The 24,788-nt window shown below is 42.4% G+C and overlaps 1 protein-coding gene and 1 long non-coding RNA gene across 8 annotated transcripts in view, besides 5 other annotated features; one reads left to right on the forward strand and one right to left on the reverse strand.

The window, feature by feature from the left end:
• The window catches only part of MCF2L2 (MCF.2 cell line derived transforming sequence-like 2), a 250,579-nt gene that overhangs the window by 98,087 nt on the left and 127,704 nt on the right, over positions 1-24,788 (reverse strand). For all 7 annotated transcript variants that reach the window (NM_015078.4, XM_011512585.3, XM_047447751.1 and 4 more), the window contains 5 exons: positions 23,878-24,069; positions 20,849-21,040; positions 19,173-19,350; positions 12,993-13,093; positions 745-830 (listed from right to left, as the gene is read on the reverse strand). In NM_015078.4, the coding sequence (NP_055893.4) occupies positions 745-830; positions 12,993-13,093; positions 19,173-19,350; positions 20,849-21,040; positions 23,878-24,069 (749 nt within the window). The remainder of the gene's footprint in view (positions 1-744; positions 831-12,992; positions 13,094-19,172; positions 19,351-20,848; positions 21,041-23,877; positions 24,070-24,788) is intronic.
• Positions 9,198-10,397: an enhancer, noted in NCBI's record as "BRD4-independent group 4 enhancer chr3:183003113-183004312 (GRCh37/hg19 assembly coordinates)". NCBI's record gives its function as "activates an origin of replication core promoter dependent on BRD2, P300/CBP, MED14 and CDK7 cofactors, and independent of BRD4, by STARR-seq in HCT116 cells {active_cell/tissue: HCT116}" and the evidence as "EXISTENCE:reporter gene assay evidence [ECO:0000049][PMID:35650434]".
• Positions 9,885-10,094: an enhancer, noted in NCBI's record as "active region_20887". NCBI's record gives its function as "activates an Ori minimal core promoter by ATAC-STARR-seq in GM12878 lymphoblastoid cells {active_cell/tissue: GM12878}" and the evidence as "EXISTENCE:reporter gene assay evidence [ECO:0000049][PMID:35858748]".
• LOC107986160 (uncharacterized) lies at positions 9,929-20,488 on the forward strand. Its single transcript, XR_001741040.3, has 3 exons — positions 9,929-10,079; positions 11,478-11,741; positions 20,019-20,488. It is a non-coding gene; the product is annotated as an uncharacterized LOC107986160 (long non-coding RNA).
• Positions 10,105-10,164: an enhancer, noted in NCBI's record as "active region_20888". NCBI's record gives its function as "activates an Ori minimal core promoter by ATAC-STARR-seq in GM12878 lymphoblastoid cells {active_cell/tissue: GM12878}" and the evidence as "EXISTENCE:reporter gene assay evidence [ECO:0000049][PMID:35858748]".
• Positions 20,435-21,259: an enhancer, noted in NCBI's record as "H3K27ac hESC enhancer chr3:183014350-183015174 (GRCh37/hg19 assembly coordinates)". NCBI's record gives its function as "activates a minimal SCP1, AML or CMV promoter by ChIP-STARR-seq in primed H9 embryonic stem cells {active_cell/tissue: H9 hESC(primed)}" and the evidence as "EXISTENCE:reporter gene assay evidence [ECO:0000049][PMID:30033119]".
• Positions 22,754-23,048: an enhancer, noted in NCBI's record as "tiled region #12547; K562 Activating DNase matched - State 5:Enh, and HepG2 Activating non-DNase unmatched - State 21:Repr". NCBI's record gives its function as "activates a minimal TATA promoter and a strong SV40 promoter by Sharpr-MPRA in K562 cells, with weaker activity in HepG2 cells {active_cell/tissue: K562 | HepG2}" and the evidence as "EXISTENCE:reporter gene assay evidence [ECO:0000049][PMID:27701403]".

A 24,788-nucleotide genomic window follows, 5' to 3' on the forward strand; every position in this document is an offset into this window, starting at 1 on the left:
CCAGGAACATGGCAATCAGTAAGAGCCCACATGTTTCTTTGAATACACCGTAAGTGAAAGAATATAAAGTAGTCTAGTTAATATTATGTTTAATCAAGGAGCACATTCCTAAAGATGTTTGTTCATTCATTCTACAGACATTTTTCAGAGGCCTGCTAAGAGTCAAGCATTATGATAGACGCCATGGATAAAAGCTTACAAGTCAACCAGCGTGGGTATAAATAATGTGACTAGCACTAGAACAGGTATCATGATGGGGATTCTGAGTATAAATATTTTTTTAAAATAAATTTCCCCGTGTTATTTTTGGCTTTTACCTCCCTAATTTAGGCTTTCTAAATGGCACAGCATTTCTGAGGATGCAAACACCTTTCTACAGAGCAAAAACAGCATTTGTATAAATTTGTGTCTTTGGGGAACCAAGAGACTTTAAATGTGTTTAAACCAATAATTCAGTCAATATCAACATTAGCTTACATGTAATATTCTCTTGATAGCCCAATTTTTTAAAACACTGTATTCTTAGAAGTTTGGTTTCTAAGATGTCACTTTAAGCTCTTTTGCTTGTTGCTTTTGTGGGATCCACAAATTTTGTTCTCAGGTACATAAATGAAGGTTAGTATAGAGGATAAATATTATGATTCTTATCTGGGAAAGACAGGTGCTGAGGTGTAAAAGAGAGGATCCTCGCCACCCATGCCCCGCACCCCCTCGCCCCCTGCACCCACGGATGTGCAGTCTTACCTGCGGGGGGAAAGGTCTCCGAGCCTGGCCTGCTGCTCCAGCTCAGGGTTCCCCCTTTCATGATGGCTTTCAAAGATTTCTTCACTCTGAAGTGAAAGAAATTTTGGTAAGATTTGATATTGTAGGGACCTCCTAATCTATATTTTTCTCTCTCCCAATTTCTGTGTTTGATTTTGGTTTTGAGTCTCTCGATAAGCAAAATATCCAGTTTCTCATGCCGCTTTCTCAGGTTTTCCCCAGCCACTCTGGATCCATTATGGTTTGCCCTTTTTGGCTTCCTTTAGGCACACTAAAAACTCCTTCCCAAAAGCAGGTATCGGCCGGGCGTGGTGGCAGGCGCCTGTAATCCCAGCTACTCTGGAGGCTGAGGCAGGAGAATTGCTCGAACCTGGGAGGCGGAGGTTGCAGTGAGCCAAGATCACACCATTGCACTCCAGCCTCAGCAACAGAGCGAGATGCCATATCCAAAAAAAAAAAAAAAAGCAGGTGTCCTTTCCCCTTAATCATGAAGGGCTATTCATACTTTACTGCCCCACCCCTATTGATTCATAAGAGGACAGTAAAGCGATCACTGCATTCAACATCTCCTTTTTTTTTTTCTTGTAAGAAATCAAGGTCTGGAAAAGTTGCACTCGCCCTGAGACCAGAAAGTGCTGGAGGCAGAGATGAAGTAAGCCCAGTGTAGGCTTTCACAGATGCGTGATAACAAGTCTAACTAAAGAAGTACCTGGGATACTAGTTTTGCCAATTCAGCTCTAAAACAATATGGCAATCTTATATTCCAAATATATATATATATATTTGTATTTATAGTAGAGATGGGGTTTCACCATGTTGGCTAGGCTGGTCTTGAACTCCTGACCTCAAATGATCCACTGACCTCAGCCTCCTAAAGTGGAGGAAACATATATATATGTTTTCCTTTTAAAATAGGATGTCAGTCCAATAAGAATCTAAATTTTAGTTCCCTCTAATATATATATCTGACTAGGGACCAGATAATATTTTTCATGTGTCAATATATAAAAGTTGGCCAGGTGCAGTGGCTCATGCCTGTAATCCCAGCACTTTAGGAGGCTGAGGTCAGTGGATCATTTGAGGTCAGGAGTTCAAGACCAGCCTAGCCAACATGGTGAAACCCCATCTCTACTAAAAATACAAAAATTAGCCGGGCATGGTGGCAGGCACCTGTAATCCAGCTATTTGGGAGGCTGAGGCAGGAGAATCACTTGAGCCTGGGAGGCAGAGGTTGCGGTGAGCTGAGATTGCACCACTGCACTCCAGTCTGGGCGACACAGTGAGACCCTGTCTCAAAAGAAAAAATATATATATATATATATTTTTTATTATATTGTTTATTAAACAAATAAAAATAAAAGATATCTCATCAGTTACGATGTAAATGAAAAAATTGTGTGTGTGTGTGTGTGTGTGTGTTATGATGTACTTCTTGTGAGTTGTGGTCAGGCTTTGAAAGCCACTATGTATGTGTGTGTGTGTGTACATAAAAGTAAGTATCAGTCCCAGGATTCAAATTCGAACCAGTCCCAGTCAAATTCAATCTAATTATTTTCACCACACTACCAAAAGTCTTTCTTCACATTTTCTATATAAAGTTGAACTAATTAATACAGCAGTGAATGTTACATTGTATCCTTTTGCAGTTTCTCATCTATGACATTACTATGCCTGAATTCCCCACTGGACTTTGAACTCAGTCTTACTCATCTTTGGATCCCCAGCGTGTAATACAGGCCCTTCATAAAGAGTGACCATTATTACTAACAAAATTTCCTCTCACTGTGAAACCTGCTCCCAATTATAAAATGAATTGTGCTCTTTCGAACTCCGTTGATCTATTGTATGCAGGGTGGATCATAGAGTCTTATTTCATAATAACCTAGTGATGGAAAAATAACAATGATTCAGGAGTAGGTAATGGACCTTGTCATCTTTTACACTGAATGATGAGATTTCCCTAATTTATAGATTTTGTCATGCATGAGATGCCCTCAGGAGCTTGCAGAAATGCCTTGGCACGTTGCTCTGCTGACATGTGTCAGATGGCTGGTGTGGAGGTAGAGGGAGTCTCCTCTGCCAAGCAAGTCTAATGGAATATAACACTGGTGCCATTGAGGATGCAATGAGAAGGACCCACAGCAGATCCAGAGACTGCATTCATAAAAGCTGCACAGTATACCATGTTTTATTAAGGTATAGACAGATTAGTTGTGTTCTAGCATAGTGGTTTTCAAAGCCTGACCACAACTCACAAGAAGTACATAACACACACACACACACACATACACACACACATTTTTTCATTTACATCGTAACTGATGAGATATCTTTTATTTTTATTTGCTTAATTTTTTATTTCTTTTTTTTTTGAGACGAAAGGTGAATTGTAGCCAAAGTACTTTTAGGAAATTTTAAAATTACACATTTTGAAAGCTCTAGGAGGAAGAGAGCATATTCAAGTAAAACCTTTCTTTTATTCAAATAGTAGACTAAAAAATTGACCATAGACTAACTCAGCAATTGCTGCCATATTTCTTAGTGAGGGATTCCTTATGAGCTCCATTGAATGATAAAAGGATACTCTTCCAAATCAGAGCAACAATCGTTTCTTGTGACACTGCATCCTTTTTCCCTTCCTTCACCCTGAATTGCCCCTAGGGTATACCTAGGAGAGGGAGGGCTGGCAACCAGCTGCTGTTGTGAAAGGGATGTCATTCATGGCCTGCCCTATTGGGAGGCCAATCAGGCGGAACAGCCCCTCTCCCCTTATGGTCATTTTATCCTGAAGAAAAAGGGTGGCAAAAAGATGGCAAAAAAGATTGCTGATCACAGATCACTGTTACAAATACAACAATTGGCTGGGCATGGTGGCTCACGCCTGTAATCCCAGCACTTCGGGAGGCCGAGGCGAGTGGATCACGAGGTCAAGAGTTCAAGACCAGCCTGACCAACATGGTGAAAACCCGTCTCTACTAAAAATACAAAAATTAGCCGGGCATAGTGGCGCATGTCTGTAGTCCCAGCTACTCAGGAGGCTGAGGCAGGAAAGTCACTTGAACCCGGAGGTGGAGGTTGAGTGAACCAAGATTGTGCCACTGCCCTCCAGCCTGGGCGACAGAGCAAGATTCCGTCTCCAAAAAAAAAAAAGGAGGGGGTGGCAATGAGACAGGGAACTGCTCTGGGTCCAACTCCCCTCACATAGCCCCAACCCCCATATCCACCCCACAAACCTCCACCTCCCCACTTCCAGCCTCTCCAGTTTCAAAGTGACGCTTACCAACACGCAGGCTCTCCAGGAGCACCTTGAAAGGTAACTTCTTACATCTTTCCAAAACACTTATAATCTAATTGTTCTTTCTCCCCTATATTTTGAAGAAATGCATGCTCTCAAAATTGAAAAAAACGCCTAGAGGAATTTTGTAAAAAAATTATATTTTTCCAGTTTCTCCAAAGGACATATAAACCCTTTTTAAACTTAGATTTTGAAAAGTCCCAATAGCTGATTTTCAATCGATTATTGAAATTGTTTTTTTTTTCTTCCCTAAAGGGGAGATACCAACCTTTGAACAAAATTAAATTAACTTTTCCCCAAAGTTAAATGATTTTACTTTGTGATTTTAGGAATGTGTAGAAAGTGATTTCAGTTCCAACTCTTTTAAAGCAAGGGTATCTGGGCCAGGCGTGGTGGCTCCCTCCTGTAATCCTAGCGCTTTGGGAGGCCAAGGTGGGGCAGATCACCTGTGGTCAGGAGTTCGAGATCAGCCTGGCCAACATAGAGAAACCCCATCTCTACTAAAAACACAAAATTAGCTGGGTATAGTGGTGCGCGCCTGTACTCCCAGCTACTCGGGAGGCTGAGGCAGGAGAATCGCTTGAACCCGGGAGACGGAGGTTGCAATGAGCTGAGATCACGCCACTGCACTCCAGCCTGGGCAACAGAGTGAGTCTCTGTCAAAAAAAAAAAAAAAAACAAACAAGCAAACAAACAAACAAAAACAAGGGTATCTGGTAATTTAAGGTGAAAGTATTATTCACTATTATAATCAATTTTCTTAAAAACAGGAGCTATTAGGCCCAATTCTGAGGAGAGAAAAAAAAGCAGATTTCAAGGGCCCGTGCCACCTTCTTTGTTTAAAGCATAGAGAATGATAATAAAATGTTAAAGGTTCAGCATTTTCTGGCATTGTAAATTTAATTAATTAATTATGTAAATTAATTATGGAAATGAGAAATAAAGTGAAAAGGTATGTCAAGTAAGAATCAATAATTATCAAAACGTTCTCTACCAAATGGGATGCAGGGGAGAAGGGTGAGAAGAAGGGAAGGAAATAAAGGCAAAGGCATTTGCCCACAGCCTCAGTCCAGGGTGTTCTACATGACGCAGCCCCAGAGTAAAAAATACTAGCCACAGGAATGAGTGGCTCTGTCTTCCTCTCCAGAACTGACGGGCAAAAGAGGGGGAACCTCACCTTTTTTTTTTTTTTTTTTTTGGAAACTCACTGGGTTTTGATATGGAGAACAGGAAGAGAATCTACCCTAGCAGCACATTCACAGATGGTTTGTCTGCCCTATTTGCTCCATCTCCCTGGCTCTTCCTAGCACTTCTTTTCCTACTTTCCATTTTCATTGGCCGCAAAAGCCACTTAAATATTCCTTTGGAAAACTGGGCAGTCTGTCCCCTTTTTAAAACCACAACTATTTCCAGGAGAGTTAAAGGGCTTTCGGACTGCCCATCATTCATGCATTGTGGTGAACTAGCTCAGACTGCCTCTACCTTTAGTCCAGATCAGCTGCCTTGGGAGGGCGATTCCTGGAGGAAAGGATGAGGAGAGGAAGGTTTTAGGACATCGTATGGACTGAAGCCCCGTTGGAGGGGAAGGGCAGGCTTGAGGAACAAGCCTCAGTGTTCCTGAGGCTTTGTGGAAATGAGAAATGAATAGAGAAAGATAAGAGACTGGATCCTAAATGCAATTTTGCCTATTTCAAAATTTTCACAGGGTCTTTTTTTTTTTTTTTTTTTGAGACAAGGTCTTGCTCTGTCACCCAGGCTGAAGGGCAGTGGTGTGATCATAGCTTCCTGAAGCTTGCAGCCTCGAACTCCTGAGCTCAAGCGATCATCCTGCTTCAGCCTCCCAAAGCGCTGGGATTACAGGCATGAGCCACCACCCCCAGCCTCAGGGTCTTTTTAATCCCTAAGATCTTAAATTTCCCAGCTACTATTGTTAGTAATGAGTTCAATTTACTTACTGGTTAAATTGGCTTTTATTATTATTATTATTTATTTTATTTTATTTTATTTTATTTGAGACAGAGTCTTGTGCTGTCGCCCAGGCTGTGGTACAGTGGTGCAATCTCAGCTCACTGCAAGCTCTGCCTCCCTGGTTCATGCCATTCTCCTGCCTCAGCCTCCCGAGTAGCTGGGACTACAGGCACCCGCCACCACGCCCAGCTAATTTTTTGTATTTTTAGTAGAGACGGGGTTTCACCATGTTAGCCAGGATGGTCTCGATCTCCTGACCTCATCGTCTGGACTAATACTCTAAACGCTATTGGCAATAGTTTGTTTACAGGAAAAACATCTTCTTATAAAGCTGACTGCAAATGTTTTAATAAATTTGCAAATATGTAATTCTGTTTAAAATATCAGGAAGTGAGAAACATGTTATGTGATAACTCTTTCCCATTCCCGAACCAAGAAAATGTAAAGGCAGTAAGTGTGCCAAGGACACTGAAAGGAAGCTGCCCGTACATCTTTGAATCTTCTCAGGCTGTTTGGTTTCATCTGATTTTAAGCTCCATGGATAAATTTCATTGTAACAATTTTTATGTCTGTAAATCTTAACCCATAAATAAAATCACAAATCAGAAAAGTACTTTATTAGGCCAGTCTTTGTCCAAGCAAATTTGGTCCCAAAGCTAGTTTACAAATAATTGCCACACAGCTACAAGGCCAGTGGGTTGACTATCGTAGCATCAATGGTGTGGGCAGGGCTGCAGCCTCTGGGGCAGCATTAGCCCCAACTGACAGAGGGTATAGGTGCTCTTAACAATCTATGAGACCCCCCACAACCTGGACTCAGCTGTCATAAGCCTTTACTTCTTATGTTCTTCCTAAGTACTTTATCGGGCCAACAAATTCATCCCATGAGGAATCCAAGATGGAAACGTCAAAACTATCTTTGGTATCATGCTTCCTCCCCCTACCTTCTCTGCCTTGATCCCCTCCTTCATTCTACACATTTTCTCTGATAGTCGTGTTCTAGCCACTAGGGAGAACGTTTCAGTCAATGGGTATGATTTCTGCTCACCTCTTTTTGCCATAGCTATTAGTAAGCTCTCACCACTGATGTCTCAGCTGACTGTGACAACTGCCAGCGGCTGGTCAGCCTGCCTGCCTTCATCTAACCTGCTCTTTACTGTCTACCAGAGTCAGCTTCGTAATACACAGGTGCCCTCCTCCTCCTGTCAACATTCCTCAACCAAAGCCTCAGTAAACTGTCTCTCATCTACCTTCCCAGCATTCTTGAGCCATTCCCAGGATAGCCTAGGCCCTTTAGACCTCTGAGATGTTATACCCTTCCTCATTCTGGAATGCCCTTCAGTGTCTTACCCACCTTTCAGAGTTCTATTTATTCTTTTTTTTTTTTTAGATGGAGTCTCACTCTGTCACCCAGGCTGGAGAGCAGTGGCACCATCTTGGCTCACTGCACCCTCTGCCTCCCAGGTTCAAGTGATTCTCCTGCCTCAGCCTCCTGAGTAGCTGGGATTACAGGTGCCCGCCACCATGCCCAGCTAATTTTTGTATTTTTAGTAGAGACGAGGTTTCACCATGTTGGTCAGTCTGGTCTTGAACTCCTGAACTCAGGTGATCCACCCACCTCAGCCTCCCAAAGTGCTGGGATTACAGGTGTGAGCCACCACGACCAGCCTTATTTATTCTTTAGAGTTGAATTCAAATGCCACCTCCTTTGAAAGCCATCCTTGATGTCCTTGTGAGGAATTACTTTCTCTACCACATTATATATTCCTTTTACTGTAGAAACGTCATTCTGCTTTATATTATAAATTATTAGAAATATGTTGTTTCCCCCATGAAAGTTTCAAGTTTCCTGAGTTTAGGCCTGATGATACAATCATTTTCATATGACTCACAGCAATTGCCTTAGTATATATTAAATTGAGCTGAATAAGCCATGTACCCAGTTGAACACACCAAATATTTTAGTGATGTCATTTCTTTATTGGTGAAAGAGCAAGGCCAACGTTGATCTTAATGTTATTCTCTCTTTTATCTTATTCAGCTCCCTCAACAAAAATACATTCTCATAGATTAATGTAATCACCACCTCACTCCTCTCAACTTTAGACCCTATACTAGCCTGAGAAATCCAGATCCAACTTAATGAGTTCTCCTTTATCCCAAGTCCTCATGACCTATAAATGTAACCTCTAGGACAATGTTACAAAGAGTGAGATCTTTATACCACCTGCATTCTTGTCACCAAACGTGTAAGTTAAAAATTCAGATTCTGAGTGTGGTGACTCACGCCTGTAATCCCAGCACTTTGGGAGGCTGAGCCAGGTGGGTCACCTGAGGTCAGGAGTTCGAGACCAGCCTGGGCAACATGGTGAAACCCTGTCTCTACTAGAAATACAAAAATTAGCCAGGCATGGTGACAGGCACCTGTAATCCCAGCTACTCTAGAGGCTAAGGCAGGAGAATCACTTGAACCTGGGAGGCGGAAGTTGCAGTGAGCTGAGATCACTCCATGGCACTCCAGCTTGGGCAACAAAGTGAGACTCTGTCTCCAAAAAAAAAAAAAAATTTAGATTCCAGGACCCGACCCTACACCTCCCTAATTAGAATCTCAGAGAGTGGGGCCCTGGGAATCTGCATAATTCATAACCTTCTCAGAGCTCTGGTACACAAGAAACCATGAGAATCTTTGTTCTGGAAACTTCAGAGAACTTGGCTGAGGGCCACCCCAGGATTTGGTGGCGTCCCTGAATCTCCCATTAGCTCTGACACTGACTAGACTTCAAATATCACAGAAGGCAAGCATTGAAGTGTGTTTATATTCAAATAGTTTTCTTGTTGAGAATCAGAAATATTAATAAAACTTTTGGGAGTCAAAGTAATGAGAAGACAAGGAACTGAACTTGCCCCCTGATCTGTTATCATTTGGCAGTAAGGTACATATTCAACAATAGGATAATTCTGTATAAGACCTGAATCTGACCTTCTTTCATCTTTCACACTGACAATTCTGTCTCTAAACACAGGATTAAATGAGGAACTAAAATTCACCAAGATCCTGCTAGGTGTCAGGTACAGTGCTAGCTGCTTCCACACATTTCTCATTTAATCAGCCACCTGTGAAATTGCTATGATTTATCACCATTTGGCAGAAAAGGACATTTAGGGCACAAGAGATTAAATAAGCTGCTGGTTGGGTACATTAAGTATTAATAAATAATCAGATAGATAAGTTAGGTAGTTAAGTAAGCTGCCAGATTAGTAAACAGCTAGTTTCAAATCCCAGCTCCAACATTTACTAGTTGTATGACCCTTGGGGAAACTCAACCTCTGAGTCTCATGGCACTGCTGATAAAACGGAAAACATCATCCTCACAAGGTTCTGAGGACTAGGGATGGACTCAGGTACACACAGCACCCAGTACAATGTCTGGCCTTCAGCCAGTGATAGCAACCCTTCACTCACCTCTCCATTCCCTTCCAGCCCCTGCATTCAAAAACTTTTATTTATTTATTTTTTTAATTTAGGAGGCTCTTTGCTCAGAATCCTGAAAAGGCTTTTGTTACTTTATTTTTTCTTTTTTTTCATCTTCTGGGAGCACAGAATAGGCTTCTGCTCCTTTAAATAACTTTAACAGGCACCAAAGGAACACTGCTAGCTCTTTCTTAATTCTGTAGGTCCACATTTAGGAAAAAGAAATTGTCAGCCTCTGACTTATTTCCAGCTTACAAAAAGGCTGTGATGTTGGCAGCCCGGGGAAAGCAGTTCCCGTGAGTCATGCTTTCACCTTTCAGCCAGTGAAGAACAGGAAATAGTCACATCACTATTGCCAACAAGCACAGCGAATCGCTTCCACCACCGGGCTTTCCCAGATGACGTCAGTGAGCCAAGTGCAGGGCATCACCCTTGCCAGATGGCCCCGGAAGAGTCTCAGCTGCCCTGTCAAGTTTAGCTTCTCAAGCTCCCCAGAACCAGCATGGCAAGGATCACCCCTCCAGAAAAGGAAATGATTTCTCTGATCATGATCAAACCATGTCATAATTTTAGCTGTAGGTGGTGAGTATCAGTGACTGTATTATAGATGGTTTTGGTTCACAGCTATTTTTTTTCTCGGTATATTTACTCTCAAGGGCAAAGGGGTGGCATTTATCACAATGCTATGATTCACTCTACTAGACTGGCTGGGTTTCATTTCATCTTTGAGTTCTAGACCTAAGGCCAAAAGGATGTCAGAATCGCCACCCAGAGCTAGATGCATGCTCAATGCAACCTGGCCATCTCTCTCGGACAGTGGCCACTAAACACAAGCTGCAATGATTATTGTTGATGTTAGTCAATTGATTTGTCCCCCTTTTAATAATCCATGATCCACACAGACATGAATCTAAACCTTTTTTTTGAACCTATCTTTTTCTTACTAGTTTTCTTACATATTTTGGAATAACAATTTCCCTGGTTATAATACACAATGTGTGAAACACTAATTGCATTTATTGGTCCTAAATTCATTCCCAAGTCTAGGATTTGGGGATTTAGTGCACAAATCCACTTTCTTCCTGCTCATGTTGTTCATGACTTTATGGATTCTGCTTACATTTCCTCCCAAAGCCTTGGTCTTTCTAAGCAGAAATCTGACCAGCCTCTGTTCCTACTCTGCTTCCTCCACCACCTTGACTGTTAACATACACTGTTGTGGGAGAAGCTTTTCATTAAATACGCAAACAAATCAACAATAAGGAAGAAAACAACTGAAGCACAGAAGGATGATTGTAACATGGACTTGTGCTTGTTTAACAGTACCCATACTGTTTGGTGAGTTGCCTAAATACAGAGGGAGATGGCAACTTAACAGGATGGGTTTGGAGTCTGAATTAAATAAACAACATGGCAAAAGAAGGAAGAAACCAAAAGTTGGGTGACTAGGGCTTCTTGGATTCTACTCAACACTTTCCACACCTACAGGCCTCTGATTCTATCCCCACCGCTGCTCCTACACTGTCTATGTTTCTCTTTTACAACAACAACAAAAAAATAGCACTTGTTTACTGTTCACAATTATTGAAATAAATCACTCTAATTTGGATTCCTTTATATGAGAACTTCCATATGCTTAAAACTCCCGTAGCATTTTTATAGTGTACAGGTCATAAACATGTTGTCTGAAGATGGGCAAAGTAGGTCGTAGAGATAGGAAGTGAGTTCACATCACGGCGTGAGTCAAGGCAGCAGCATATGAGCTCAGGGGCCAAATCTGAGCTGTGATCATGTGACACAGTCCTCACCTTCAGAGATGACATTCTCCCAGAAGTCCAGGGTGCAGAAATGGATAGGCTGATGTTCACTTTTGAAGAGGACCACAATGAAACCCTTTTAATATTACTCAATGATTCCACAGACCTCCTGGGTGTTAAATCAGGTGAATCTATTTTTAAAAATTGCTATTTACTTTTTTAGGTGGCTGATCAGGACAGTATGAAATTTCATACAGTTTCCTAACTTGAGAAAACATGGTGATGCAATTCCTCCAACCAGGAGGGATTTATGGACAGCGGTGGCTACGTCCTAATCTGCCCAGAATACAGGATGACTAAACAAATTGGCAAACGGACGCAGCTTTCTCTCTCTCTAAGAAAAGTCTGCTGAGAACCCTCGTTCCCACTCTGTTTCTGCCTCCAAGAAGAAAAGCCTAAAACTCACTTTCTTCCGGACTCTTTCAAGGTCAGTGGAGTTCCTCTGGGGTTCATATTCAGATACTTTGGGGATTGATGATGGATCATAAATGTTGCTGAAGTTCATTTGAGCCCATGGCCTCTGGTTTCAGAACCATTCAGCCAGTCAAATATTTAAATTTTAGTGAGGCAGGGGAAAGGGAACCCCTTCGGGGGCTGCTATACAGCAACTTATATTCACAATTCACAATTAAATACACTTCAGTTTCTAAATATATGTTACTTTAAAATTATACAGTGCTTAGCAATTTTCAAATTTTCATTTTGTGCTCAAAATATTTTCAGGAGGTAGCTGTTGTTATACCCATTTGTACAAGCAAGAAACTGAGGTTTCAAGAGGTTATGTTGCTTAAACCCAGATCTGCCTGATTCCAAACCTTATGCTTTTTTTAAACTTCTATTTTGAAATAATTATATTAAGTCACATGAGGTTGCAAAGAAATGGAAAGTCTCATGTCCCCTTTCTCCAAACCTCATCCAATGTTAACATCTAAGAAATTGACACTGGCACAATCCACAGAGCCTATTCAGGGTTCACCAGTTATTCACGCACTTGTGTGTGTGCATGTGTGTGTGCAGCTCTGTGCAATTTTGTCATGCTCTTTTTTTTTTTTTTTTTTGAGACATAGTTTCGCTCTGTTGCCCAGGCTGGAGTACAGTGGCACAGTCTCTGCTCACTGTAACCTCCAACTTCCAGTTTCAAGCAATTTTCCTGCCTCAGCCTCCTGAGTAGCTGGGATTACAGGCATCTGCCACCACGCCCATCTAATTTTTGTATTTTTAGTAGAGACAAGGTTTCACCATGCTAGCCAGACTGGTCTCAAACTCCTGACCTCGTGATCTTCCCACCTCGGCCTCCCAAAGTGCTGGGATTACAGGCGTGAACCACCGCGCCCGGCCTGTCATGCTCTTTTTATACATGAACCATACACTGTTCTGCCAATTTTAAATATGAAGGCAGATTACAGAAATAAATAAAATGATTTTTCTTTTACTACAACAGTATCTACCAATAATCACATACATGACCAAATAGCTTTCACTTCTAGCTGCCGTTAAGAAGAAAGAAAAGGATGAAAAGAAAAAAAATCCTATAAACCCCAGTTCTTGAAAGCATTAGTCTGTGCTATGTGCCTTAGGTACAGATTAAGGAAACACAATTTGTTGATTTATTGATAATTGTGACAGCAATCTTCCCTCTTGTCAGGAAGTTCTATAAGTAAAATAAAGGTAATTTTACCTTGACTTCAAATTTAGTCTCATCATCTTCCTTTCCCCGGGAGTTCAACTCTGTCTCCGTATAAGGTTCCTCAGACGTTCTCAGAGGACGAGCTAGAGGGACTAAGAGAACCTGCCATTAGTGTGGTTATTTAACTTATAAACTATAACTCAGTGCACTTTGTCTGATTTGGACAAATAGCTGGACCACGTCAATGTGGCTAACTATAAAAGCTCACTTGAGCTGCTGCGTTGATTTCCTAGGGCTGGATGAAATTGGAGGTGAAGGAGAGACACAGAGGAGAAATAGAATCCTTGACTCCAGGGACTTGACATTTCAGCAGAAGAGAAAAAAGTCACACCCAGCACCATATGAAACATTAAACTACAACAAATCTGTACATATAGCAATGTGGTAAAGAATAGTAGATTTTCTGTCATTCCCATTTTTAAGGCCCAGCTAAAAGGTCACTTTTGGCTGGGTTTGGTGGCTCACACCTGTAATCCCAGCACTTTGGGAGGCTGAGGCGGGCAGATCACCTGAGGTCAGGAGTTCGAGACCAGCCCGGCCAACATGGTGAAATCCCGTCTCTATTAAAAATACAAAAATTATCCGGGAACAGTGGCAAGTGCCTGTAATCCTAGTTACTCGGGAGGCTGAGGCAGGAGAATCACTTGAACCTGGGAGGCGGAGGTTGCGGTGAGCTGAGATTGCGCCACTGCACTCCAGCCTGGGCAACAGAGCTAGACTCCATCTCAAACAAACAAACAGACAAACAAACAAAAAGGCCACTTTCCTCATGAAGTCTTCCATATTACAAACTTTATGGATTCTTTTATGCACTGCTGCTTTGGCATGCATCATGTGTACAGCATAATGTTGCACTTGATGTTGTTCTTGGATTCAAAGACTAAATTCTAGGTACTACATTGTATTGAATATATTTTCCATTATAAAGGTAATTAATTTTTGCTTATTACAGAAAATCTGAAAAACACTAAACTCTTAACGCTGAAGCACAATCACTTAGTATATTTCCTTACAGTCTTCTTTCAAATGCTCTCCCTCTTTTTACACACATACATGTACACACACAATCATACTATGATTGTATTGTAAGAGGATGGCCATGCCTGCTGCTCTTGCTCTTTTCTCTTGGCCACTCTATCTCCCTTCTCCCCACCTGGGAAATATCCTTTCTTCAAGCTCCATGGCCATTTGGTAGTAAAATTGGGACTTGAGAGGAGAAGGCCTCAAGGCTTCCTAACCCACCTTACCAGCTTTGCCAAGCATTGTGGGTGATGGCCACAAGGCTAATAGATAAGAGGTACTTTGAATTCTTATTTGTCACAGTCACCACCCTTGCATATGCTGGTCCCTTGGGAAACTCACAGGAGACATGATTAATCCCAGGCAGGATTTGAGCATTTCTTTCTTTCTTTCTTTTTTTTTTTGAGACAGAGTCTCGCTCTGTCGCCAGGCTGGAGTGCAGTGGTGTGATCTCAGCTCACTGCAACCTCCGCCTCCCAGGTTCAAGCGATTCTTCTGCCTCAGCCTCCCAAGTAGCTGGGACTACAGGCGCGCACCACCATACGCAGCTAATTTTTGTATTTTTAGTAGCGACGGAGTTTTACCACGTTGGACAGGATGGTCTTACTCTCTTGACCTCATGATCTGCCTGCCTCGGCCTCCCAAAGTGCTGGGATTACAGGCGTGAGCCACTGTGCCCAGCCAATTTTAGCATTTGTAGGTCCCAAGACCAAAATGCCATTCATTGAATGCCACCAATATATCACCCTGATTCTTAGCTATGGTAGACTTGATGGAGGTTGACCATCTGATCTCCAGAGGCCCCTTCCAACCCTTCCATTCTGTGAGCCAACTGGAAGCAGCTTGGGCTTTCTATGGGTTTTTCATAGATGTTATGTTGAAAATCGCAGAAAATTACACTGCTACCCCAGGTTATACATATTACCATTAATGCTGCTTTGTAATAACAGACAATCCTTTGGGCTCCTCCCTCTCTGTGGGATCTCTATAAAGTGAGTGATTCCAGGCACAATAACTAGATGCTAGAAATGCATGCACTATAATTTGTGACACCATGACTGAGAAGCGCCTGTCCTTGACACTGTAAGTAGAGTGAAGCAGTGAAAGGCGGGGCCACAGAAGCCACACTGCCAGTGTTCAAACCTTGCTCTTCCATGCACGAGACAAACATGATTACAGTCACCTCTGTACCTTACCTTTTTCATCTGTAAAGTAGGGAAAAATGAGAAATCCTACAGTAAAGGGCTGTGATAAGGCTTTAATGAGTTCATTTGTGAAGAATGTAGATCATATACAATGCATAACACATTTTAGCTATTATTGCCACATGGCACTAAAAAGTTTTTTCACGTTCCTTATGAACTTCAGAGGTGTTAGAAGTTGTAGCCAAGGCATCCAGCTAACAAGAGTCAGAGCTGAAATTCCAGCTCTTAAGCCCCTCCACACATCTTCTTTATACTGTGAAATACAATTGCTTATCTTGGCACAGACTCAGTTACTAAGGAATCAGACAAAAATGTTTGAAAATCCTTTTAGTGACTTGCTGGAGTCCACACTCAGTAGATACTTACCAAAAACAAAAGTGCAGGATTGTTCTGCAAAACGAGCTAGTTGTTTGACTTAGGTCAATGACAACCTGTTCAGACTTGACAAAGACCTATTTATTCTGGGAAGGAGTGTTATCTATTATGAAATCTTGTATTTGAAAAGCTGAGAAACAACCCTGTAATTCCTGCTTTATTTACTTGAAACAAACATATGTACCTGGAAACAACGAATGAGGCCAAGTCATAGATGTGAACATAGTTTAGCTTGAGGACAGACGAAAGGTCAAGAGAACCAAGTTCTGTTTCCAATCATCTAAGAAGGATGTCTCTGTGTATGTTTGGGTATGTCTGTGGTATGTGTGTGCAAGTGTGTGAGAGTGTATGTGTGTGGATGTGTGTGTGTGTGTTTGCAGATAAAAATTCAGGAAAGAAATACACTAAATGTTATCAAGGCTTACTTCTAAAAAGTAGGATACATGGTGGAAGACAAGGGATCGTAAATTGTACTAAATGGAGAATTACCAAAACACCCCACAATTTTCATATAAACAAAAACTGAAAGAATTTATTGCTAACAGGCCAGGCATGGTGGCTCACAACTGTAATTCCAGCTCTTAGGGAGGCAGAGGCAGGAGGATAGCTTGAGCCCAGGAGTTCGAAACCTGCCTGGACAATATAGCAAGACCCCGTTCTCCACAAAAAGGAAAAAATAAAGACAAGAAAAGAATTTGTTGCTAGTAGACTCCCCAACAATAAATACTAACAGAAGCTCTTTATTCCGAAGAGAAATGACACAAGATAGTAATTCAAATCTATAATAAGGAATGAAGAACCCCAGAAATGGTGAATAAGGGGGTATGTACACACACACACACACACACACACACACACACATGCACACACACACGTATGTATTTCTCTTAATTTGATACATGACTATTTAAAGCAAAAATTATAATACCATAGTGGGGGATTAACATATATAGATGTGATATTTATGATAAGAATAGCACAGAGGATGGATGGGGAGCATATGGAAGTATGACATTGTAGTATGTAGTATGATTTCCTATATTTTGCATAGAATGGTATGAAACTAATTCAATAGATCATGACAAGTTAAGGATGCATATGGTAATCCCCAGTCTGGTGAAAAACAGTACAAAGAGATATGATAACAAGCCAATAGAGGAATTAAAACAAAATATTAAAAAATATTTACTAACCCAAAGGAAGGCAGGAAAGGAGGAAAAGAGGAATAAAAAGCACATGAGACATGTAGGATAACAAAACAGGAACTCTAAATCCAACTATATCAATAATGATGATGGATGTAAACATAAAAATCTAATCACTCCAATTACAAGGCAGAGGTCACAGTGTATAAAAAGGCAAGACCCAACTATATGCTGCCTACAACAAATATACTTTAAATACAAAGACAGAAGAATAGAAAACAAAAAAAATATGTTCTGCAAACACTAAGCATGAGAAAACTGGAATGGCTGTGACAATATCGCACAAGATAGACTTTAAGAGTATTTCTAGAGGTAAGGAGGGAAGGAGAGACATTTCATAATTATAAAAGAGCTAATATATCTGAAAGACATAAAAACCATGAATATGTATGTGCTTAATGACAGAGGTCCACAATACACGACACAAACAAATGACATGTACATCCTGCCCAAGGGCAGTTTATTCCAAGGATGTACAGTTGTTTTAACATTTGAAAACAAATCATTGTAATTTACCATATTAACAAATAAAGAAGAAAAACCATATCATTCTCTCAATACATGGACCAAATAAGCATTTGAAAACTCAATAATCATTCACGATAAAAACTCTCCTAAAAAATAGAAATAGAAGAGAATTCCCTCAATCTGATAAAAGACATCTGTGGAAAACCTATAGCTTACATCATACTTAAAGATGAAACTTGAACTCTTTTCCTAATATTGGGAAAACACACAGATGTCTGCTCTCACCATTTCTATTTGACATTGTAGTGGAGGTCCCAGTCATTATAATATGACAAGAAAAAAAGTATAAAGATTGAAACAGAAAAAAGTAAAAGCATCCCTATTCACAGATGATAGGATTATATTTCTATATAGAAATCTATTCCTATTCTTAATTATATATGGTAAATTCCATTCATTATAGGGTTAAAAAAATGTTAAATGCCTAAGGCCTTTACACTCAAAACGACTGCATTGTTGAGAGAAATTAAAGATGACCTAAAAAACATAAGTTATAACATATTCAGGAATTGGAAAAGTCAATATTGGTAAGATAATAGTTCTCTCCAAATTAGCTCATATATCCAGTGTAATCCCTATCATAATCCCAGCAGAAATTGAAAGGTGATTCTAAAATTTATGGAACAATGAAAAGGACCTAAAATAGCCAAAACAACCTTGAAAAAGAACAACGTTGGAACATCGCATGACTTGATCTTAAAGGCTGACTAATAAGCTATGGTAATCAGGACCATGTGGGATTGGCATAAGAACTTACCTATTTTTTAAATCTTTGCTCAAAGAACCAATTTTACTACTCCATTGCTAATAAAACATGGGCCTTTTAAAGGTCCTGAATGGGGTCTATTTTATGCTGTTATTATTATGTTATTATTATGATGCATTTGTTGTTGTTGTTGTTGTTGTTGAGACAGAGTTTTGCTCTTGTCGCCCAGGCTGGAGGGCAATGGCGCAATCTCTGCTCACTGCAACCTCTGCCTCCCGGGTTCAAGCAATTCTCCTGCCTCAGCCTCCTGAGTAGCTGGGATTACAGGCGCCCGCCACCATGCCCAGGCTAATTTATTTATATATATATATGTATATATATGTATGTGTGTGTGTGTGTGTGTATATATATGTGTATATACATATATGTGTATGTGTGTGTGTGTGTGTATATATATATATATATATTTTTTTTTTTTTGAGACGGAGTCTCGCTCTGTCACCCAGGATGGAGTGCAGTGGCGCCATCTCCGCTAACTGCAAGCTCTGCCTCCCAGGTTCACGCCATTCTCCTGCCTCAGCCTCCCGAGTAGCTGGGACTACAGGTGCCCACCACCACGCCTGGCTAATTTTTTGTATTTTTAGTATAGATGGGGTTTCACCGTGTTAGCCAGGATGGTCTCGATCTCCTGACCTCGTGATCTGCCCGCCTCAGGCTCCCAAAGTGCTGGGATTACAGGCGTGAGCCACCGCGCCCAGCCTAATTTTTCTATTTTTAGTAGAGATGGGTTTCAACATGTTGGCCAGGCTGGTCTCGAATTCCTGACCTCAGATAATCCACCCGCCACGGCCTCCCAAAGTGCTGGGATTACAGGCGTGAGCTACCGCACCCGGCCTTTATGATGCATTTTTATTATTCCTTCAGTAGATTGTGTGTTTCTCCTTGCATCCAGGCACTTGGTGTTATCTAAGTGTTTATGTCTTCCATGTCTGCACTATGCTATATCTGTAGTTTGTTTTAAATAGTATCTGTTAAAACAGCGACCATTATCCATTGTAGACAACCAGTCACAGTCCTCATGGTGCTGATGAAACACAAAAGCCACAAAGCTTCTTTTCCTCAAATAACCTACCCGAGGTGGAGGGCTGGCTGGTTTTTGATGACACCCATTTTGGTGAAGACTCAGGATGTGGGGCCACAGGTTGCACTGGACGAGTCTGTTTGGCTGCCAGTTTCATCAGACTCACTTGCCTCTTGTGAAATATTTCCTGGACATCATCCAGCCTCTGCAAAACTTTCTGGGCTTTGGCCTACAGTAACAAAAGCAAATCATGATGAACAGGTCTCTCTGTATACAGCCTGAGGACACGAAGCATTCCCTTTCTCCCACCTTCCCCTACTCCCCCCATCCCTACCTCCCTCAGGTGACCCCCTCTGGGCATCACTATGCAAGTCGCTGCAGGTCCTGCCATGCTCCAGAATTGGGTATCTAAGGATTAGCCTCTCCTACTTGAGACCCTTGAGGACAATGACTACATCCTTTCACTATGGCGTCTCCAGTGCCTGGAACACCCTGGCACAGGAGTTTGAGACCAGCCTGGTCAACATGGTGAAATCACATCTCTACTAAAAATACAAAAATTAGCCGGGTGTGGTGGCTGGCACCTGTCATCCCAGCTACTTGAGAAGCTGAGGCAGGAGAATCGCTTGAACCCAGGAGGCAGAGGTTGCACTGAGCCGAGATCATGCCACTGCACTCCAGCCTGGGCGACAGAGCGACTCCATCTCAGAAATAAACAAACAAACAAACAATTAGAATACAATGTGGCTTGTGTCATGTTAGACAGAGCAAAGAATTTTGGCCTGAGTCCATGGATGGACTTCAGGGCATTCCCCAGAATTACACAAACAGTTAGACAGGCTGGATATAATCTGTTTGTTCCTCCACTGCATCTTCTCTTCCTTTCTTTGTGCCCAGGAAGCTGATTAAAAGAAGCTCCTAAACCAGAGGTGCAGACAAGGTGATGATGTGGCTCTCAGAGGAAGGTGTGCTACCTACAACCCTGCTGGCTTCATGGAAGAATATGCTTCTCAAATGCAAATCCAATCAAGTTATCTCCCTGCTTAAATCCAAACTCGCTCATGTGGCCCACAAAGCCTACCTTGCCTGCCTCTCTCTAACCTCACCCAAAACACACTTCCATTGCTCTCTAGGTTCCAGCACCCTGACCTTTTGGTCTGCACTGTGCCAGGCTCCCTCCAGCCCTGAAGCCTTTGCACATGCTGTTCCTCCTGTCTGGAAAGGCTCTCCCATCTTGTCTATTCGTTCTCCAGGCTCAAGTGACTCTTCCTGAGAGCCTTCTCTGACCCCAGTCCAGGTCAAGTTCCTCTGTCACATGCCTGACCCTGCATCCCTCCTTGACAGCACTTATATCAGCTTGTAACACATTTTTGTGTGATTATTTTGTTAATGTCAGCCTCTCCCACAAACTGTAAGCTCAGTGAGGGATGGAAGCATGCCTATTTTTAATCATCATGGTATCCTCAGCACTCAGCACAGCACATGGTACATCAGGAATGCTCATAAGCATTAATAGAGAAATGACTGATTTGAGTCAGACGAAGACTCAGTATGCCAGGACGTTCAGGCCGAGAGTCTAAGAGGCCGCCGGAGGGCTTCGGAACCAGTGAGCCCACTCAATTCAGCCTGCTCAGTACCCTGTGTGTACTTTATCAGGAAGAAGGTACAGTCCCTCCCTCCCCTATCCGTTTCCCAACCACAGGATCAAAATAACCCGGAAGCATTACCTTTGCATCGAGGGTGAGCAGCAACTCAAACTCGTTGTAAAACTCCTTGGGGCTGAGCAACGGGTACTCCTTGACTGTGCCCAGGAATGTCGCAATGTCGTTCAAGGCGATATCAACCCCTTCTCGAGACTGGCACTTGTCTACAGCTTGGGAAGCCAAGAGGTAGATTCCTGCCTCACACCATTGGCTGACCTTTTGGAAAGAAACAGTGCCCTGTGCACTTCGCCTGACCACAACTCAGAGCCACCGTAATCCTCAGCAGGTCTGAGCTTGTAAGGTGTCTACAAGGATTCCCAGACAATGGGAAATTGTCATGGGACGGCATCGAGTTTAAGGGGTCTAACCACTGTAAATTACACTATGAGGGGGACAAACCCAAACCAGCTGATACCTGTCCACTTCTCAGGGAAGTCACTCGGTCAGCAAAATGAGTCTCTTCCATTAACAGTAATTGCTACATCTCCAGGAGGAGACAGCTAAATATATATTTAATTAAAGACAGGGTTTCACTCTGTCACCCAGGCTGGAGTACAGTAGTGCAATTATGGCTTAATGCAGCCTGGAGAGGTCTACCCCAGGCTCAGGTGATTCTTCCACCTTAGCCTCCTGAGTAGCTGGGACTACAGATGCATGCCACCACACCAGGCTAATTTTTCCTTCCTTCCTCCCTTCCTTCCTTCCTTCCTTCCTTCCTCTTTCTTTCTCTCTGTCTCTCTTTCTTTCTTTCCTTTTTTTGAGACAGGTTTTGGCCATGTTGCCGAGGCTGCTCTCGAACTCCTGGGCTCAAGCAATCCTCCCACCTCGGCCTCCCAAAGTGCTGGGATTACAGGTGTGAGGCACTGCACCCACCCAGCCTTATAGCTAAATATCTCTTAGGCTGGTCTAACCATAGAGAAATGTAATCAATGGCTTTTGGGGTTTACCTGCTAGTCCACTCTTCTTGCATCCGAATTGGTTACCAGAACACAGGGTGATTAATAAGACATTAGACCTGGCCCTTACATTTCCTGGGAGAAGGGCATGTCCCTTTTAACAAAAACACAACTTTCATCTTTGGATTCCCAGGTGATCCCTATTTGCATTTACTGGCGTTTGTCTTTCGTAAGGAAGCAAGAATGCAAAGCTTTGTAACTCAGCACAGCGATACTCAAGAGTTTCTGGATGCTGGGAGGACATTAGATAGGTGATGAGTTCTAATTATTCAATTTTTAAAAAAGACTCATTTTCTTTGCTCTTTTGAACTCCACTGAGACACTTGAACAGAAAGACAGGGAGCCCTTATGCTACCTGAAGAGTTATATGAAAAGAAGTTTCCAGTGCCAATACCTCTGCATTTCCATTTACCATGTGACCTGAAAAGCAATATAAAGTAACTATACAGAGAAAAAAGATCAAAATGCAACACGCCAAAGTGGTTGTCTTTCTAAGTGGGAAAATGATAGGCAACTTAAGTTTTTGTCTTATTTTTTTCCTAGATTATTTACAGTGAATATGTACCACATTTAGAATAATAAAAAATCATAAAGATATTTCAGAATTAATAATTACCATTATGTAGGGATGGGGGATAGTGGGATATGTACGTGCCCATGAGTAACCTTTTTCTTCCTACATTTTTGGATTTCCACAATAATATGAACTCATGCTTTGATATATGCTGTGAAAACTTTCTCTTTACACATCATGCCCAGATCTGCAAAAAACATTAGGCTGGGATTTTCTGTAGAGTTACTATGGCTACTTGCTTTCTCTCTCTCTCTGTCTCCCTCTCTCTCTCTCAAACACACATGCACACACACACACACACACACACACACACCAGGCTTATAATCTCTGGAGCAAAAATGGAGTTGGGAAAACAGCAGCTGATCCCACAGCGAGCTCAGCACACAGAGCAGGCTGCACACCAGCCCCTTCGGAGCTACTTGCTTCTGAAACAACTATATTTCATTGACATTAAAATCCCTTTAGCAATGGGATGAGGTAAGCGCCTGGGTGGGTGCCCCCTGCCATGCAAGAGGAACAGCTGTGGGGATGGAGCATGCTGACTCATTGCCGTCAGCCACATGCTGCCTGGGACCAGCTCACAGGGAAGACTCCAGAAACCGCTGCTCCTGCTGACTGGGAACATACCCTAGAGGTCACCTCCAAAGGGCACCCCTCTCCTTGTGGGCCCCTGGCATGCGCCCTTGCTGTCTATCCTGTGAAGCCTTGGTGTGGAATCTGGCAGGCCTGACTTTAATTCTGGCTTCCCCTGTGTGCACCATGTGTGGTCTTGGGCAGTCATTTACCCCAGGGTTTCTTGGTGACATCCCTGCACCACCTGCACCAGAATCATTTAGACACTTTACTAAAATACTAGTTCCTGGGCAGTATTCCAGACCTATCGACGCTGAGTCTTCAGGGCAGTGCATAAGGGAATCTGCCATATAACAGCTCACTAGGTGATTCTCGTGTGCTACATTTTGAGACCCAGCAGAGTATCAGTTTCTGCCTCTGCACAATGAGGCCATTAATACCTTCCTCAGAGGTTGTCTTGAGGATTATAAATAGATGACATAATTATGTTCCTGGTAGGAATGCAGTAGGTGCTCGATACATGGTAGGGGGTATAAAATGGTTGTTATTACTTAAGCTTCTCCAAAAAGAGTCAAAACCCTTTGCCTTTATATGAGGGAAGCACTCTGCAAATATAGTGCTTGGTTCTCTGTACACCTGAAAGGGAATCAAGAAGTGTTCCCACAGGGCCAAGCCAAAACACACTCTTAAAGTCCGGCTCCACACAGATAGAAATGGGCTTCAGTTAACTTTAATGGGATGTGGTGGGATGGCCAGAGCACTTTTTACCTTCGTGCCAGGTATACTTCTACACCCCAGGATCTGCACAGTTTTTAATGCCTCTCGAACATCTTTTCACATAAAGCACTCAAGCCTCTCAGCAATCACACAAGGAAGGGAGGACGAGTATGATGGAAGCTTCTTCACAGAAAATCTTGCAGACATCATGTTCTTGGCTGTGTTTTGCTCACCTTGTCCAGCTGTCTATGAAACTCTAAGGACTTTCCTAAAATGTCCCATTTTTTCTTGTTTCCATTGATGAAATCGTCACAGAGGTGCCTGAGCTCCACACACCGGGGCCTGATGGCATCTGCTGCATAATGGTGGCTTTGGATGAGCTGGTCCCCAACCAGTGCCAGCAGCTGGGCCTTTTCCAGGGGCTCCTGCAAAGTGAACACCCACAGCCAGGCGTCAGAAGTCAGAGCATCATGAGGCTGAGAGCTGCCTGGTACTGTGTGCTCCAAGCCTGGAGGGAGGCTGTGGAGATGCTAACCCAGGATGAAGGCTGGAGAACCTGAGAAAGCTCGGAATGGTTCCAGGCCCAGGAAGTTAAGCCTGGCCCAGAGTTGTCCACATGCTGAACAACAGCAGTCATTCATTCAAATACCTGTTGAGTTCTGGGCTAGACATCGAGGATATAGTGTTAACAAGCCCAAAATTTTCAGATTAATGGAGAATTCAGATATCAACTAAATTACACAAATCGTTAAATTATTACAATTGCAATAAACTCTAGGGCAGAAAAGCATGGAGTGCACATAATAAGAGATTTTGAATACCCCTATTAACTAAAGGAACAAGAAGAGGGACTGACACCTGTCCTTGAGGAGAGTGGGGGGTGAGCTGAAGTTGAAACACTGGTGAAAATTGGATTTGGACAACTCAAAGGTGGTCATGACACTTAAGAAATATGCTTGTCTAGGCTGGGCGTGGTGGCTCCCACCTGTAATGCCAGCACTTTGGGAGGCCGAGGTGGGCGGATCACCTGAGGTCAGGAGTTCAAGACGCGCCTGACCAACGTGGAAAAACCCCGTCTCTACTAAATACAAAAATTAGATGGGCGTGGTGGTAGGTGTCTGTAATCCCAACTACTCAGGAGGCT

This window comes from Homo sapiens, chromosome 3, assembly GCF_000001405.40.
Source record: "Homo sapiens chromosome 3, GRCh38.p14 Primary Assembly".
Taxonomy (NCBI): Eukaryota; Metazoa; Chordata; class Mammalia; order Primates; family Hominidae; genus Homo; species Homo sapiens.